At 47.7% G+C, this 17357-nt stretch overlaps 1 protein-coding gene across 8 annotated transcripts, besides 2 other annotated features; it reads left to right on the forward strand.

Moving 5' to 3' along the window:
- Positions 1-2819: 2819 nt before the first annotated feature.
- NRBP1 (nuclear receptor binding protein 1) lies at positions 2820-17289 on the forward strand. Of its 8 annotated transcripts, none has more exons than NM_001321357.2 (19): positions 2820-3212; positions 3348-3761; positions 8279-8513; positions 8703-8825; positions 9019-9120; positions 9501-9590; positions 9752-9792; positions 10163-10257; positions 11783-11866; positions 12077-12135; positions 12292-12390; positions 14796-14928; positions 15433-15538; positions 15682-15732; positions 15835-15970; positions 16157-16210; positions 16297-16360; positions 16597-16652; positions 16738-17289. In NM_001321357.2, exons 3-19 carry the CDS (start codon positions 8304-8306, stop codon positions 16840-16842), a joined length of 1608 nt encoding a protein of 535 aa, NP_001308286.1. In that variant the 5' UTR covers positions 2820-3212; positions 3348-3761; positions 8279-8303; the 3' UTR covers positions 16843-17289. The 8 variants fall into 8 exon arrangements, with proteins under 8 accessions (NP_001308286.1, XP_047299992.1, NP_001308287.1 ...); XM_047444036.1 differs by having other exon boundaries at positions 8284-8513; NM_001321358.2 differs by lacking the exon at positions 2820-3212 and adding an exon at positions 10753-10776 and having other exon boundaries at positions 3661-3761.
- Positions 4029-4178: a silencer, noted in NCBI's record as "silent region_11302". NCBI's record gives its function as "represses an Ori minimal core promoter by ATAC-STARR-seq in GM12878 lymphoblastoid cells {active_cell/tissue: GM12878}" and the evidence as "EXISTENCE:reporter gene assay evidence [ECO:0000049][PMID:35858748]".
- Positions 5548-5847: an enhancer, noted in NCBI's record as "active region_15507". NCBI's record gives its function as "activates an Ori minimal core promoter by ATAC-STARR-seq in GM12878 lymphoblastoid cells {active_cell/tissue: GM12878}" and the evidence as "EXISTENCE:reporter gene assay evidence [ECO:0000049][PMID:35858748]".
- Positions 17290-17357: the final 68 nt, after the last annotated feature.

The following is a 17357-nucleotide window of genomic DNA, read 5'->3' on the forward strand; positions in this document are numbered from 1 at the left end:
CTCTAGCCTGGGTAACAGAGTGAGACTCCATCTCACAAAAAAAAAAAAAAAAAAAAAAAAAAAAAAAGATATATGTAGCTAAATGCTCATTGCTGCTTTATTTATAATAATAAATGATGAATGTTATCCCAATGTCCACAGGTAGTTACTAATTAAATGCTGGCATATTTGGACAGTGGAATATTCTGCTGGTTAAAAATTAACCAGTAAAGGGTCGGGCACGGTGGTTCACACCTGTAATCCTAGCACTTTGGTAGGCCAAGGCGGGCGGATTGCCCGAGTTCAGAAGTTCAAGACCAGCCTCGGCAACATGGTAAAACTCTCTCTCTACTAAAAATATAAAAATTAGTCGGGCATGGTGGCACATGCCTGTAGTCCCAGCTACTTGGGAGGCTGAGGCACGAGAATCGCTTGAACCTGGGAGGTGGAGGTGGCAGTTAGCCGAGACTGAGTCACCACACTCCAGCCTGGGTGACGGAGTGAGATTCCTGTCTTAAAAAAAAAAAAGGCTGGGTGCAGTGGCTCACACCTGTAATCCCAGCACTTTGGGAGGCCGAGGCAGGCGGATCACGAGGTCAGGAGTTCAAGACCAGCCTGGCCGACATGGTGAAACCCCATCTCTACTAAAAATACAAAAATTAGCTGGGCATGGTGGTGCGTGCCTGTAATCCCAGCTACTAGGGAGGCTGAGGCAGGAGAATCGCTTGAACCCAGGAGGCGGAGGTTGCAGTGAGCCACGACTGCGCCACTGCACTCCAGCCTGGCGACAGAGCAAGACTCCATCTCAAAAACAAAACAAAACAAAACAAAAAGACAACAACAAAAAAAAACCCAAGTAAAGTAAAAAATTAAAGTAGTGGTTAAAAAATTAAAGTAGGGCCATGTGCATTGCCATAGAAAAAAGTGAAAAAGGTTATGTAGTATAAACTTGTTTTCATTTAAAATTATATACACATATGTGAATATATACTTAGAAAAATAAAAATAAAAGGTCAGGCGCGGTGGCTCATGTCTGTAATCCCAGCACTTTGGGAGGCCAAGGTGGGCAGATCACGAGGTCAGAAGATCGAGACCATCCTGGCTAACACGGTGAAACCTCGTCTCTACTAAATATACAAAAAATTAGCCAGGCATGGTGGCACACGCCTGTAGTCCCAGCTATTCGGGAGGCTGAGGCCAGGAGAATCTCTTGAACTTGGGAGGTGGAGGTTGCAGTGAGCCAAGATCGTGCCACTGCACTCCAGCCTGGGCAATGGAGCGAGACTCCACCTCAAAAAAAAAAAAATACACCAAAGTCTTAATTATCGGGGGAAGTAGGATTATAAGAGATTTCACTTTCTACAGAAATTGTTAATATTCATATTACTGTTGTCAGCATTGTTGTCATAAAGCAATTAAAAGTGCCTAACACATAGAAGCTACTATATAAATATTACATTATACTAAAATAGTTTTGGGAATATTTTTGCGTTGTTTTTTGGCAATGAGCATGAATTATTTTTATAAGCAGGAAAAAATAAATACATGAGGTGGTGAAAATGCAGGTAGTATTTGATCATTTTAAATGTAATGAAGGGTTAAAAATGAGAGCTAGAGGATGCCAAAGGGTCCTCCATGCATACTTGAAAGGACCTAGTTGAAAGCGGAAGGTTGATAATGATAAAGCCCCAGGCAGAAGAGAATGGGAAACTCTAATGATAACATGAACTGATATTTAATGAATGTTTACCCTGGGCCAGGTGTTCCAATTGCTTTTGAGCCCACAGGAAGGAAAGGTTAATCTTTTCCTTTGAGATTAGAACCAAGAAATTATTTTATTTATTTATTTATTTATTTTTTAGGTGGAGTCTTGCTCTTGTCGCCCAGGCTGGAGTACAGTGGCCTGATCTCAGCTAACAGCAACCTCTGCCTCCCGGGTTCAAGTGATTCTCCTGCCTCAGCCTCCTGAGTAGCTGGGATTACAGGCGCCCACAAGCACGCCTGACTAATTTTTGTATTTTTAGTAGAGACGAGGTTTCACCATGCTGGCCAGGCTGGTTTTGAACTCCTGACCTCAAATGATCCGCCCGCCTCAGTCTCCCAAAGTGCTGGTATTACAGGCATGAGCCATCGCGCCCAGCCCAGAGCAAAGATTCTTAACCTCAGTTTCCTGAAATTATATCCTAAATTTGTTGGGTAAGTGCATTTTTTAAAGTACAAGAGAAGGCCCATAAGTTACATCAGATTTTAAAAAGGGTGTTTGAGCCCCCCTCTTCCAAAGATAGAAGAATCAAGGAAGAAAGGGTAAAACATACATACATATATATATATATATATATATATATATATATATATATATATATTTTTTTTTTTTTTTTTTTTTTTTTTTTTTTGAGACGGATTCTCACACTCTGTTGCCCAGGCTGGAGCGTAGTCGTGCAGTCTTGGCCTACTGCAACCTCTGCCTCCTGGGCTCAAGTGATCTTCCCGCCTCAGCCTCCCAAGCAGCTTGAGAGAACAGACATGTGCTACCTCGCCCGGCTAATTTTTGTATTTTTAGTAGAGACGGAGTTTTACTACATTGAGCAGGCTGGTCTCGAACTCCTGACCTCAAGTGATCCGCCCACCTCGGCCTCCCAAAGTGCTGGGCGTGAGCCACCGCGCCCGGCCGAAAGATTGGTTTTAAAAACGAGTATTTTGAGATGATGAGAAAACGAGAGGGTTTCTGCCAGTTGTCCTTTCTCCCAGTGAAACAGGATTAGAGATTCTCTTTAATGACAGTAAAATTTGGTGATTGTGACATTTCCAAGTTCTGTTGATTGATTCATCATCTTCCCTCCATCATACACGTCTAAGGGCAGAGTGAACTTCCATCCTGAAGGCTCCGCGCTTAGTTTTCGCAGATTAATAGCTCACCAAGAATTTATCATCTTTTCTTTCCACTAACTCGAAACCAATCTAAATTCTTTCCAAACATCTTCTCAACGTAGTCTCCTTTGATGAAATTTACTGTTTCGGATTCTAGACTTGGCTCTTACCAACTTAACTTTCGGTTAATAGCTTAATACCTCTGATTCAGGTTTTTGCATTTGTCAACTACCATTGAATGATAATTTCAATGAGTTCGTTCTTATGAGGATCAAATGAAATAACATCTGTGAAAACCTCTTACAAAGTTTAAGCAAATAGTGCTAAGCAATCACCAAGCGTTAACTACTAATTTTCAGTGTTAGGTAAATTTTAAAAGCTTTCCGGAGAATTGGCGTCCTGCACACCAGTCTCGTTCCAAAATAATGCAGGCGGGGGCTGGGGTGGGGGCGCTCCTCTCGGACTGAGGCTATGTCTTTCGCTCCTTTTGTCTTTTCCAGGCATTAGAACTGTCATGGCGCCTTCAAGAAGAGGTAGGAGGCCCTCTCTGCGTCCAGCAGAACCATCTGGGGCACCTGGACCGGGCGGTGGGGTGGACAGAGAGACGAGCCCCAGCTGGGACCGAAAACATCGACCCCTCCGAGAGGTCTCGGCCGGACCGGCGCAAGGGGAGGAGAGCGGGTGGAAGCCCACCCCAGCGAACGCCCGAGGGCCGGGCCCCGCCCACCCAGAACGTCACCCAATGGAAACCTGCCGGCGGTGCGGCACCGCCCATCGTTGGTCCGGGCGCCGCGAGGGCGGGGCCCGCAGTTCGGTTGCGCTGCGGAGCGCAGCTGTGAGGGAGTCGCTGTGATCCGGGGCCCCGGAACCCGAGCTGGAGCTGAAGCGCAGGCTGCGGGGCGCGGAGTCGGGAGGTGAGCGCCCAGGGAAAAGAGGGCCCGGGAGGGAGGGGTTCGCGAGAGGACGGAAGGATCGGCCTCCGAGGCCCGGGACGGTGGGACCCGCCAGTCGGGTGCTGAAGGCGGCCCTGCTCACTCAGTAGCCCAGGCCCGATCGGGCCCTGCCTGCTGGAGCCGAGGGGCCGCTTCGGCCCCGCAGTCGCTGCTTAGCCCTCCCTGGCGTCTCTGGCTTGGCGGCGGCGCCCCGGGATTCTGCGGGCGCGGGTCGGGAGGCCCTGGCGTTCGCTTGGAACTCCGGCTGCGAGAGGCGGGGCCCGGCGGGTGGGGGCGGGGGCGGGGGCGGCGGTCGCGGCCCGGCGGCCTGCGGAAGCTCGGCGGCCTGGCCTGGCCTGCTCGCGGGGAGGTGCGCAGACTGCGCGGGGGCGTGGCCTGCGCCCCTGACTGCGCTGTCGGTCCGGCCTTTGATGAGGTGGCCGCCGCTGGCTCCCTGGGCCCCAGCCTGGTTCCCGCGCGGGCCGCGGCTGCCTTCCAGACGCAGGGCATGCGACCTGTTGGAGTGTGAAATTCTAGGGGCCGGGTTCCTCCCCAGAGCGGTTTTATTTCCGACTGGACTGTGCTGCGGGTCTCAGAGGCCCTCTGGTCCGTTCAGGGTGAGGACAGCTGAGAGGCCTGGGCCCGTGAGCTCTTGCAGAGGAGTTGACACGCAGAGGGGCTGCTGTCCAATAAACGAAAGTGTCGGGGAAAAACTTTGCAGGGCGATCTGCATTACTCCAAAGTGAACACACTGCATGTCTCAGGGTGGCTGGAGGCGGCGAGAATCCCCTTATGGGAGTATATGAGCTTTTCCATGTGTTATCTCTTTAAAACCTCTCAGCGGCTCCGAGACAAAACTCCCAGTGTCGCAGAGGTTTCTTCATCAATAGGAGTAGTGCTGGAGAATCTTGGGCACTGCCCTCATTTTGCCTGCGAAGGAAAAATTAGGAAGGGATAAAAAGTCACAAAAATTAGGAAGGTGGGGGGGATAAGCAAATTCCAAGGGCATCTATCTCTGATGAAGGGTTGGTGTCTCCTGTGGTGCCCTACTGTGGATTAGTTATTTGTGTCCTCGGTCCAGAAGTTTCTCTGGAGCCCATTGGCTACAGCTTTCCTGTATTAGAATTCTACTGTTATTTCCTACTGTAGTCTGGCTGGGAATTTTATTTAGTTGTTCAGATTTTAGATGCATTCAGTGAATGCAGCTGCTCAAGGAAGTAACTAATAGTGTCTTACCATTTTCTTAGCTACTTTTCAGAAGAAGGAACATGATCTCTAACAGAAGTTTTCTGGTAGATTACTAAAACAGGCAGATAGTAGCTTTCCTGGCTGGCTGAGTTAAATCCCTCTCCAGCGATCCTCCCACTTCAGCCTCCTAAGTAGCTGGGATTACAGGCATGAGCCAGCGCGCCTGGCAAATCTCTCTAGAATAAGTCAGGATCTAGAAAATAACATAGGGAAAGAATATCTTGCCAGATTTCCTCTGTACTGCCTATTGCTCTTTGGTATTTACTAGACTGTCTTCTAATAAAAATCTCCTGAGTTGAGTTAAACGTAGTGTAGATTGGGGGCAGAGATGGGCACAAATGGGCATCAGAGAGTTCTAAAAATAAATGTGGGCTTTTCAAAAGATTGGTGTGTTGACTGGAGACTTCTGAACTTAGAGGAGCACATTTAGTTTCCAGGGTATCAGTTTCTTTTTCTTTTCTTTCTTTTTTTCTTTTTTTTTTTTTTTTTGAGTCATAGTCTCACTCTGTCACCCAGGCTGGAGTGCAGTGGCGCCATCTGGGCTCACTGCAACCTCCGCCTCCTGAGTTCAAGTGATTCTCGTGCTTCAGCCTCTTGAATAAGCTGGAATTATAGACGTGCGCCACCACACCCTGCTAATTTTTGTATATTTTTGTATTTTTTTGTTGCCCAGGCTGGTCTCGAACTCTTGAGCTCAAGCAATCTGCCTGCCACCATCTCCCAAAGTGCTGGGATTACAGGCGTGGGCCAGCTTGCCTGGCCCAGGGTATCTCTTTCATACTGTAGAGAACTCTCTTGAGCTGAGCACACACAGGTTCCAACTCCTTCACAGTCTTTATTCTTAGAGATATGAAATAACATTAAGTGGTTGTCTTGTGACTTTTTGTACAAGTTAATGGCATTTAGCTCTCAATAATTCTTTTTCTTCAAGTACCCATGACCCTGAAAATGTTATGCTGTATAATACTTTTTCCTATAAAAGTTGTACCTTGAGTTATTTATACTTGTAAGAAATAACCTAGGCTGGGTGTGGTGGCTCACGCCTGTAATCCCAGCACTTTGGGAGGCTGAGGCGGGCGGATCATGAAGTCAGGAGATTGAAACCATCCTGGCTAACACGGTGAAACCCCATCTCTACTAAAAATACAAAAAATTAGCTGGGTGTGGTGGCACGTGCCCGTAGTCCCAGCTACTCGGGAGGCTGAGGCAGGAGAATCGCTTGAACCTGGGAGGCGGAGGTTGCAGTGAGCCGAGATTGCACCACGGCACTCCAGCCTGGGTGACAGAGTGAGACTCCATCCCCTCTGCCAAAAAATAAATAACCTATATCAGATCTAGTCCCCCAGAGAATGGAAACTTCAGAGCCTTTGAGCAATGTGAATGAAATGAAAGCTGGAAGCTTAAAGTCTTAGCTCTGGCTTGAATTTGTGGCTGCTTGAATGTGGGCATTTATTTTGTTTGTTATTGTATCTCAAGGACTTAGCCCAGTGCTTGGCCCACAATAAATGCTTAATAAAACATCTGTTAAATGAGTGAATGAAAAAAAAAATGTTGTTAACCAATACCCATTTGTCACACTCACATCACAGGAAAGGTGAGGTCATCAGGGATGAAGTCACTAACAACTGCCAGTCATGTGCCCCAAGGGTAGCCTCACCATGGACTAGTGGGCTTGTTCTGTGTAGAGAAGGGATGGATAGTGAATGCCAAGGTTAGTTCTAGCTGGATAAATTAGCCAAGGGTTTCAGCTGGATAAGTTGGCTGAGGGTGCTACAGGTCTAGCCTTAAGGCTGTCTCACTGAAACATTTTGGAGTCTGGAGTCATCTGTTCTGAATAGCGCCCACATAGTTTATATTTTTTTATTTTTTGAGACAGAGTCTCACTCTGTTGCCCAAGCTGGAGTGCAGTGGCACGATCTCAGCTCACTGCAACCTCTGCCTCCCGGGTTCAAGTGATTCTCCTGCCTCAGCCTCCTGAGTAGCTGGGACTACAGGTGCGTGCCACCACACCCAGCTAATTTTTTTATTTTTAGTAGAGACAGGGTTTTGCCATGTTGGTCAGGCTGGTCTCGAACTCCTGACCTCAGGTAATCCACCTACCTCGGCCTCCCAAAGTGTTGGGATTAAAGGCGTGAGCCACTGTGCCCGTCCACACATAGCTTAATTCTTGAGCACAGTAAAAATAGGGTGTACTTGGGGATTCAAAGGGAAGCCTATTGGATGAGTATTTGCCAAGAAGGAATGGAGCACCTGATTTTGCTGGTGATTTGAACCTTACTCTAAGTGGGATTAGACTGCCATAAATCTTGTGTTTGTCATTCCTGGGAGGGTCATCTTCAACTAAGATAGCTCCCCTTTTCTAGACTAGAGTTAGGAGAATAGTTAATGTTTCAGTATTTAGGACTGATTCTGATTTTGGATTTAAAGGAAACAAAGGTGGTGTGTGTTTTCTATTTTTAATTTTTAAAAGTTTTGTGTAGAGACTGGGGTCTTTTTATGTTGTCCAGGCTGGTCTCAAATGCCTGGCCTGTTTTATTTTCTTTTGAATTTGCAGATAAGTATTAGGATTATTAAATCTTTTTTTTTGTTTGTTTGTTTTTTGTTGAGACAGGGTCTCCCTCTGTTGCCTAGCCAATGGCATGATCATAGCTCACTGCAGCCTCAAACTCCTGGGCAATCAAGTGATTCTCCCATCAGCCTCTCGGGTAGCTGGGACTATAGCTGTGTACCACCTTGCCCTGCTAATTTTTAAATTTTTTTGTAAAGATGGGGTCTCACTTTGTTGCCCAGGCTGGTCTCAAACACCTGGCCTCAAATGAACCTCTTGCCTCGGCTTCTCAAAGTGCTGGGATTACAGAGGTGAGCCACTGTGCTCAGCTGGATTACTAAATTTTTTTTTGAGATGGGGTCTTGCTCTGTCACCCAGGCTGGAGTGCAGTGGCGTGATCTCAGCTCACTGCAACCTCCACCTCCCTGGTTCAAAAAAATTCTCCTGCCTTAGTCTCCTGAGTAGCTAGGACTACAGGCACGCGTCACCACACCCAGCTAATTTTGTATTTTTAGTAGAGATGGGGTTTCACCATGTTGATCAGGCTGGTCTTGAACTCCTGACCTCAGGTGATCTGCCCACCTCAGCCTCCCAAAGTGCTGGGATTACAGGCATGAGCCACCACGTCCAGCCTGGATTACTAAATCTTTACAGATGTATCCTGACTTTCTCTGCCTTTTCCCTCTGTATTTGCCCCAACCAGTGCAGGCCTGAGTGTTCCTTCCAGCATGTCGGAGGGGGAGTCCCAGACAGTACTTAGCAGTGGCTCAGACCCAAAGGTAGAATCCTCATCTTCAGCTCCTGGCCTGACATCAGTGTCACCTCCTGTGACCTCCACAACCTCAGCTGCTTCCCCAGAGGAAGAAGAAGAAAGTGAAGATGAGTCTGAGATTTTGGAAGAGTCGCCCTGTGGGCGCTGGCAGAAGAGGCGAGAAGAGGTAAGGTTATGGTACAGTTACTCTTGGGTGAGTGAATTCTGGAAAGGTGAGAACTGGAAGAGCAAAGTCTTAAAAGAGGCCAACCAAACTTCAATAGGTTGGGGGCTAGGAGGAGATGATCATATGGAGTGTTAAAATGGAGGATTTGTGAGATAAGTTTAATTCTCTTTCATATGAATTTCTTCTCAGGTGAATCAACGGAATGTACCAGGTATTGACAGTGCATACCTGGCCATGGATACAGAGGAAGGTGTAGAGGTTGTGTGGAATGAGGTACAGTTCTCTGAACGCAAGAACTACAAGCTGCAGGAGGTAGGTGATGCTGAAAAGGTGAAGCCTGGGGAATGTTGGAACACTGATGTTAGAGAGGAATTGGTGTTGGGAAGCTGCCCGTGAGGAGAGTATGTTGGGGTTAGATCGTTTCTGGGGAGGGATAGGGAATGGCTTCTCAGGATTATTACAGTGATTTGTGACTCTGTTATTCCACTGTCTCCCTTGCTTTCAGGAAAAGGTTCGTGCTGTGTTTGATAATCTGATTCAATTGGAGCATCTTAACATTGTTAAGTTTCACAAATATTGGGCTGACATTAAAGAGAACAAGGCCAGGGTAAGAATTTTTTCCCCATATTTCCTGAACTTATTGCAAAGAGACTAGCTACATTTATTATTGTTCCTTTTACACTCAGAGATTAAAACAAGGTAGTTTTGAAACAGAACTGGAATCAGCTGCAATGGCGATAAGAGTAGGGCTTCAGTTGTCACCTATGCCTTTTGTGTGGCTATAGATTGGGCAGAAAATGAGTGAACTTTTGCTTCTTTCTTCCCATAACTTTCATTGCTTGTTTTCATTGCCCTATTTAGTCTAAGTAAGTAAAGCTAAGAACAAAAGGAGAGAAATTTTAACAAACCTTCAAATTTAAAATATGTTAACAAGGGAAGGGATCATTTCTACTATAAGGCCTTTTAGTAAGTGCTTTGCCTCCCCAGGTCATTTTTATCACAGAATACATGTCATCTGGGAGTCTGAAGCAATTTCTGAAGAAGACCAAAAAGAACCACAAGACGATGAATGAAAAGGTATAGAAGGAGAGCAGACAAAGTTTGAGGCTGGTTTTTGGGGGTGGTTTTAAAAAGGACTCTGTTAATAATGAAGCTGATCAGGAAGGGACGGAAGGAGCTAGTGGGAGAGAGTTAAGAGAGGGAATTACTGCTGACCCTTGGATCCAACTTTGTTCCAGGCATGGAAGCGTTGGTGCACACAAATCCTCTCTGCCCTAAGGTAAGTAGTACCTGGTTAGTTTCTTACCCATATTTCCTGATGTAGTTACTCCAAACAGATTTCAGGGCACTACTCTTCTGTTCTATTCTGCCTCTCCCCACTTTCTTTGAATCATATACTGTCAAGATTAGGGCCCCTACGGGTCTTTTAAAGGGTGCGTCCTAATGCCCTAACCACGACACTTATCTCCTACCTCTTTCTCCTAGTGCTTATCCAGCTATTTAAATCATCAGGCATAATGGAGATTCAGAGTGTGGGGATTATCTTTATGGTGACCAGCAGGAGACCTGGCCCTTGCTCCTCTTAACCCTTGGGTTCCCCCTGCCCTTAATTTCCCAGTGGCCCCTCTAACAGCCCAGTGCCCCCACAGCTACCTGCACTCCTGTGACCCCCCCATCATCCATGGGAACCTGACCTGTGACACCATCTTCATCCAGCACAACGGACTCATCAAGATTGGCTCTGGTGAGGGGAGGGAGAGGTTCTGGGCAGGGGAGCCTCGGGAATTTGGGAACCATGGGGGTAAGATGAAAGGAATGGGGGATAACAGAGCAAAATTCTGAGGTGTGGGCTGGTGAGAAGAGAAAGGACCTTGCTAGGAGTAATTAATAGGAGAGGCCAGTTAATTAGTGGAGAGGGGGTAGGATATATAATCTTACACCTTTTTGAAGGGAAAATTGGGGTTAATACAGAGATACTGATAAGAGGCTGGGAAAGGGCAAGAGATAGGTTTGAGGTTTGATTTGAGTCCTGGGGCCAGACCCTGCCAGAGGAGGTTCCAGGCTGTTCCTGCTGTGAGTGCTTTCGTTTGCTGTGTATTGTATGCAGTGTACAACATTTCTGTGTGCTGTGTCTGTGTGGTATTTGTGTGTCCATTTGTCTGGGGCTTGGCTGCTCCATCGCTCACAACTTTTCTCTGTTTTCCTCCCTCCCGCTTACGGGCTGCTCTGTTCCCAACAGTCTTTCATAGGATTTTTGCTAATGGTGAGAGCTCCCTCTGCCCCACTTGGGGCTCTGTTTGTGCTCCCTCTGCTCCCTTGGCGGCTGCCCAGTGCATGCAGTCGTGGGAGCAAACCCTCTTCCCCTATCTTCCCTGCCTAATTATGCCTGCTTAGCTTCTGCCCTGCCAGCCCTCCGCCTGCTTGCCCCTTCATAACCTGCTTGTTTCCTGTGGATTCTGCCTGGCTGGCCACTTACCTCCTGGATTCATGTTCTCCCTCATCATCAGGCTAGTTCCCAGATCATACTGTGCTCCCAGATTCTCTGTGACTTGTAGTCATTGTTTATGATCTGAGTGAGTCCAAATTGGGCCTGGTCCTGGTTCCTCGTTCAGCTCTGTGGCAGACAGTGTTGAGGAATAAGGGGGTAGAACAGGAGTCTAAAATGTTTTGGTGGATTAAAAGTGGAACAGATTCAAGGGTATTAGCTCAATTCTGAGCTGTTTTGAGTTTCACTCAGCAAAGGTGGGTAAGAAGGAGGCTACCTCCTGAGCTGTATGTTAATACTTCTTATCCTTATTTATCCAAGTTCCTGAGGTCTCCAATTGTCCCAGATTAGGAAGGGCTGCCTGTGTTTTTATGTTATTTGCAGGGTGGATGAAAAAACTAAAACCAAATATTTTCATGTGAGCAGGGATTAGAGGTACCTGGGATTTAGGGAAGGTGAACGCAGTACAAGTGAAAATTTTTCCTTAAACTTCATTGCTTCTAGACCAGCCTGAAGCCCCTGTGTATCTGTTAATTTAGTCTGGTGCTTTTGTTGCTCCTGATTTAGGGACATTAGATGAGAAGCAGTAGGCCTAAGAAAGGGGAGGTAGGTGGCATCCATGTGTGGTCTGTAGTTCAGGACAGGAAAGGGAATATGTTTGTGCCTGTTGAGGGTCATCAGAAAGGAGACTTCAGGAGAGAATTTGGCTTTTGGGGCCTCTCTCTGGAGTGAGACTATTCTTCATTGATGATGGTCAGATTGTGGGTGTCTCCCCTACTCCCAGTGGCTCCTGACACTATCAACAATCATGTGAAGACTTGTCGAGAAGAGCAGAAGAATCTACACTTCTTTGCACCAGAGTATGGAGGTGAGCCTTCCTGCTTTCTCTGCCCTGTCCTCATCCCCCTGCTTTTGCACCTTATAACTTGAGGTACAGAGGCAATATAACTGAAACTTCTAGGCCTTCTCTACCAGCATACAAAATATTTTTCTTTTCTTTTTTTTTTTTCCTAAGGCATTCCTGCCAACCCTAGCCCCCAATCCTCTGATTAACCAAAGCCTTCTCTGTTTTCCCTAGAAGTCACTAATGTGACAACAGCAGTGGACATCTACTCCTTTGGCATGTGTGCACTGGAGGTGAGGGGACTGGAGGGGAGGGGGGAAAGGGGTCAGATGAGAAGATGGAATTGGGAATGGAGGGAAGACAAGTAAGGCGCTGGCTTGGAGGGAGTGATTGTGGGAGCACTGAAGTTCTTAGGTGTCTACTTTTTTTTTTATTCTTCCTCACTGAAGATGGCAGTGCTGGAGATTCAGGGCAATGGAGAGTCCTCATATGTGCCACAGGAAGCCATCAGCAGTGCCATCCAGCTTCTAGAAGACCCATTACAGAGGGTAAGGATCTTCAGGATCACTCCCTCCTCAACTGACCTTCAAATGTCTTCTGGTTTTTCTTCCTTTGTACCCACTGGGTATATGCTCCTAAGAGCTAGGGAACATAACAGAAAGGACACGAAAAATCTATAAACATTTTCTTAGGAGGTGCCTACCATGTTTTTGCATAGAAACACACAGGTAAGGGGGTTAAGATGGATGATGCTGGGGTTAAAAGTTGTGTGTTGGAAGCCGGGCATGGTGGCTCACGCCTGTAATCCCAGCACTTTGGGAGGCCGAGGCGGGCGGATCACGAGGTCAGGGGATCGAGACCATCCTGGCTAACATGGTGAAACCCTGTCTCTACTAAAAATACAAAAAAAATTAGCCAGGCTTGGTGGCGGGAGCCTGTAGTCCCAGCTACTCAGGAGGCTGAGGCAGGAGAATGGCATGAACCCGGGAGGCAAAGCTTGCAGTGAGCTGAGATCGCGCCACTGCACTCCAGCCTGGGCGACACAGGTAGACTCCGTCTCAGAAAAAAAGAAAAAAAAAAAAGTTGTGTGTTGGCTGGGTGCAGTGGCTCACACCTGTAATCCCAGCACTTTGAGAGGCTGAGGCGGGTGGATCACTTGAGGTCAGGAGTTTGAGACCAGCCTGGCCAACATGGTGAAACCCTGTCTCTACTAAAAATACAAAAATTAGCTGGGCATGGTGGTGTGTGCCTGTAGTCTCACCTACTCGGGAGGCTGAGGCAAGCTTGAACCCGGGAGGCGGAGATTGCAGTGAGCTGAGATTGGGCCACTGCACTCCAGCTGGGGCAAGAGAGCGAGACTGTCTCAAAAAAAAAAAAAAAGTATGTTAATTTGAATGTGTCTACATGGAGGTAAATTAATTTGATGGTTACTTCAGGCCATTGCTGTATACTCTCAGACAGCCATTTTTATATTTTTAAGCACATCAGTCAATTTAAATTAAACCAGTTGTTTGGGATTTTATATTTATACAGTTTTAGTTAGGGACGGTGGCCTGAAATAATGAGCTAAGATTTAAAAGACATAAGGTTATGAATCAGTTGATAGACTATAGTAAGCAGAGCCTGGGCAGGAAGGTCCAAACAAGAACAGTTTGTAACTCATTAGATAAGTATAGTAGGGAACAGGAGAGAAAAGAAGACTAGTGGGAAGTCAGGAGGATAGTGTGGAGTAAGTTTCTACTTCAACATTGAGGTGGAGTATTCAAGTGAAAGATTAGGTATGTGACCTTGTTAGCCTTCAAGGTTAAAAGCAGGAAAGCAGGTTAATTGTCATGGGACATGCAGGAGGTAGAAAAGGAGGCGGTGGTGGAACATGGTGGCTCATACTTTTAATCCCAGCACTTTTGGAGGCTGAGGTGGGAGGATCACTTGAGCTCAGGAGTTCGAGACTAGCCTGGGCAACGTGGTAAAACCCTATCTCTATGAAAAAATAAAAATTATCTGGGTATGGTGGCACATGCCTGTGGTCCCAGCTACTCTGGAAGCTGAAGTGGGAGGATTGCTTGAGCCCAGGAGGTTGAGGCAGCAGTGAGCTGTGATTGTGCCACTGTACTCCAGCCTGGTTGGCACAGCAAGACCCTGTCTCAGAAAAAAGAAAGAAAGAAAATAAGGCAGAATCGTTAGAGGAATCCTGGGAAATTCGGTGAATTCAGTGATTGTGGGCAAAGGAAATTGTGATACTAGGCTTGTGAAATAAAAAAATGGTGAATATTGATCACATTGGGTAAGTTTGGGAAGAGAGAAGCTAAATTTGGCAAGATTTAGAAAAGAAGATAGGCAGTGAGTTGACTAATAAAGCAGAGAGGTAGAAACTAAGGAAAAAGAAAGTGTGGGGCCGGGCGCGGTGTCTCATGCCTGTAATACCGGCACTTTGGGAGGCTGAGGCGGGTGGATCACGAGGTCAGGAGATTGAGACCATCCTGGCTAACATGGTGAAACCGTCTCTACTGAAAATACAAAAAATTAGCCGGGCATGGTGGTGGGCACCTGTAGTCCCAGCTACTCGGGAGGCTGAGGCAGGAGAATGGCGTGAACCCGGTAGGCAGAGGTTGCAGTGAGCTGAGATTGCGCCACTGCACTCCAGCCTGGGCGACAGAGCGAGACTCCGTCTCAAAAAAAAAAAAAAAAAAAATTGTGAACATTAAAAAAGAAAGCTTGTGGTTGGAGAGCAGAAAAATAATTAAAACCAGAAAGGCAGTGGATGGTATCTTTCATATAATATCTTACAGTTTTTGAAGCCCTTTCAGGTGCATTTTTCAATATATTGTTTTCTCAGCAAGTGCTGAGCACCTACTATGTACAAAGCCTTGTGCTAAGTAGAATGAGAGCTATAAAGATGAACACACTGGGGGCTTGCCAGATGCCTGCTCCAGTTCCTTGTTTCCTTTTCTAGGAGTTCATTCAAAAGTGCCTGCAGTCTGAGCCTGCTCGCAGACCAACAGCCAGAGAACTTCTGTTCCACCCAGCATTGTTTGAAGTGCCCTCGCTCAAACTCCTTGCGGCCCACTGCATTGTGGGACACCAACGTGAGTCGTCTTGGCCCTATGGGGAATAGTCTTCCAATCTGGAGCCCTGTAACTATCACTGGCATGCTTGTTTTCCTCTTTATTTCCAAAGGGATTCTTTTTTTTTTTTTTTTTTTTTTTTTTTTTTTTTTTTGAGACAGAGTCTCACTCTCTCTCAGGCTGGAGTGCAATGGCTTGATCTCAGCTCATTGCAACCTCCAGCTCCCAGGCTCAAGCGATTCTTGTGCCTTAGCCTCCCGAAGAGCTGGGATTACAGGCATGTGCCACCATGCCTGGGTAATTTTTGTACTTTTAGTAGAGATGGGGTTTCGCCATGTTGGCCAGGCTGGTCTTGAACTGGCGTCAAGTGATCTGTCCGCCTCGGCTTCCCAAAGTGCTGGGATTACAGGCATGAGCCACTGTGCCAGGCCTCCAAAGGGATTCTTTACCCCTTTGCCTGCATGCCTTCTTTGACATTTAATCTGACTATCCCTTCATAATATCCCACTCCATCATGCCCTCCAGACATGATCCCAGAGAACGCTCTAGAGGAGATCACCAAAAACATGGATACTAGTGCCGTACTGGCTGAAATCCCTGCAGGACCAGGAAGAGAACCAGTTCAGACTTTGTGAGTAACTGAGAGGGTCTGAAAGGGGCAGATTGGTCACGACCACTCTTGAGGCTCTGTAAACTGTCCATTCTCTGGGAATGCTTGAATTTGCTATTTTGCTTGTTTCTTTCCTTCCATCTCCTTTCTCTTTTCTCGTCCAGGTACTCTCAGTCACCAGCTCTGGAATTAGATAAATTCCTTGAAGATGTCAGGTGAGAGCAGAGTGAGAAGCAGGCTTTCTTGAGGAAGCAGGCGGGGTTGGGTATCCTAAGGCGTTCACAGAGCCCATGTGACCTGTCTTCATCTCCCTCCAGGAATGGGATCTATCCTCTGACAGCCTTTGGGCTGCCTCGGCCCCAGCAGCCACAGCAGGAGGAGGTGACATCACCTGTCGTGCCCCCCTCTGTCAAGACTCCGACACCTGAACCAGCTGAGGTGGAGACTCGCAAGGTGGGGGCTGTGTGGGTGTGGATTGTCTCCATGGTTGTGGTGGAAGGGAGAGAGGACATCTCAAATAAGGCTCTATCCTTTAGAGAAAATGCTCCCTAGCAGCCATGCCCTATGGGCTCGAAAGACGTCTAGGTATTGGGTTTTTTATGGACAGGTCTCTAGAGTGACCCTCTCTTCCCTCCCTAGGTGGTGCTGATGCAGTGCAACATTGAGTCGGTGGAGGAGGGAGTCAAACACCACGTAAGGCTCAGGGCTAGGGTTGCGCAGGGCTAGTAGCCAGAGGGTAGGGAAGAAAAGTCTCATTTTCTGACTGTCCTATTCTCCAGCTGACACTTCTGCTGAAGTTGGAGGACAAACTGAACCGGCACCTGAGCTGTGACCTGATGCCAAGTGAGTCTCTCCTTTCCCTCAGAGGATGGAGAGTCTATGAGCCTTATCTTTTAGGGACATATTCAGGGGTGGGGGAGGTGACAAGGCAGTAACACATTGACTCACATAGAATGACTATCTTAGACCCTAAAGCAGTGGGTGGATCTGACTGACAGTTTAGCCCTAGTGGGGCTGTCTGAAGGGCCCCAGGTCCCTCAGTCCCGTACTGTACTCACCCCCTCCTGTTTCTTTGTCAGATGAGAATATCCCCGAGTTGGCGGCTGAGCTGGTGCAGCTGGGCTTCATTAGTGAGGTGAGGTTTCTGCCTTCATCTGCCCTGGCTGCCCCCATGCCTTCTCTTCTCTCAGCCCCCATCTTACTGAGCTCTTCTCCCCCAGGCTGACCAGAGCCGGTTGACTTCTCTGCTAGAAGAGACCTTGAACAAGTTCAATTTTGCCAGGAACAGTACCCTCAACTCAGCCGCTGTCACCGTCTCCTCTTAGAGCTCACTCGGGCCAGGCCCTGATCTGCGCTGTGGCTGTCCCTGGACGTGCTGCAGCCCTCCTGTCCCTTCCCCCCAGTCAGTATTACCCTGTGAAGCCCCTTCCCTCCTTTATTATTCAGGAGGGCTGGGGGGGCTCCCTGGTTCTGAGCATCATCCTTTCCCCTCCCCTCTCTTCCTCCCCTCTGCACTTTGTTTACTTGTTTTGCACAGACGTGGGCCTGGGCCTTCTCAGCAGCCGCCTTCTAGTTGGGGGCTAGTCGCTGATCTGCCGGCTCCCGCCCAGCCTGTGTGGAAAGGAGGCCCACGGGCACTAGGGGAGCCGAATTCTACAATCCCGCTGGGGCGGCCGGGGCGGGAGAGAAAGGTGGTGCTGCAGTGGTGGCCCTGGGGGGCCATTCGATTCGCCTCAGTTGCTGCTGTAATAAAAGTCTACTTTTTGCTAAAAGCGTCGTGTGTTCGCGCCTTTCCCGCCAGGGGGAGCGGGCCCGGGGCGGAGGCGGGGCCCAGGTGGGA

This window comes from Homo sapiens, chromosome 2 (assembly GCF_000001405.40).
Source record: "Homo sapiens chromosome 2, GRCh38.p14 Primary Assembly".
In the NCBI taxonomy this organism is placed as follows: domain Eukaryota; kingdom Metazoa; phylum Chordata; class Mammalia; order Primates; family Hominidae; genus Homo; species Homo sapiens.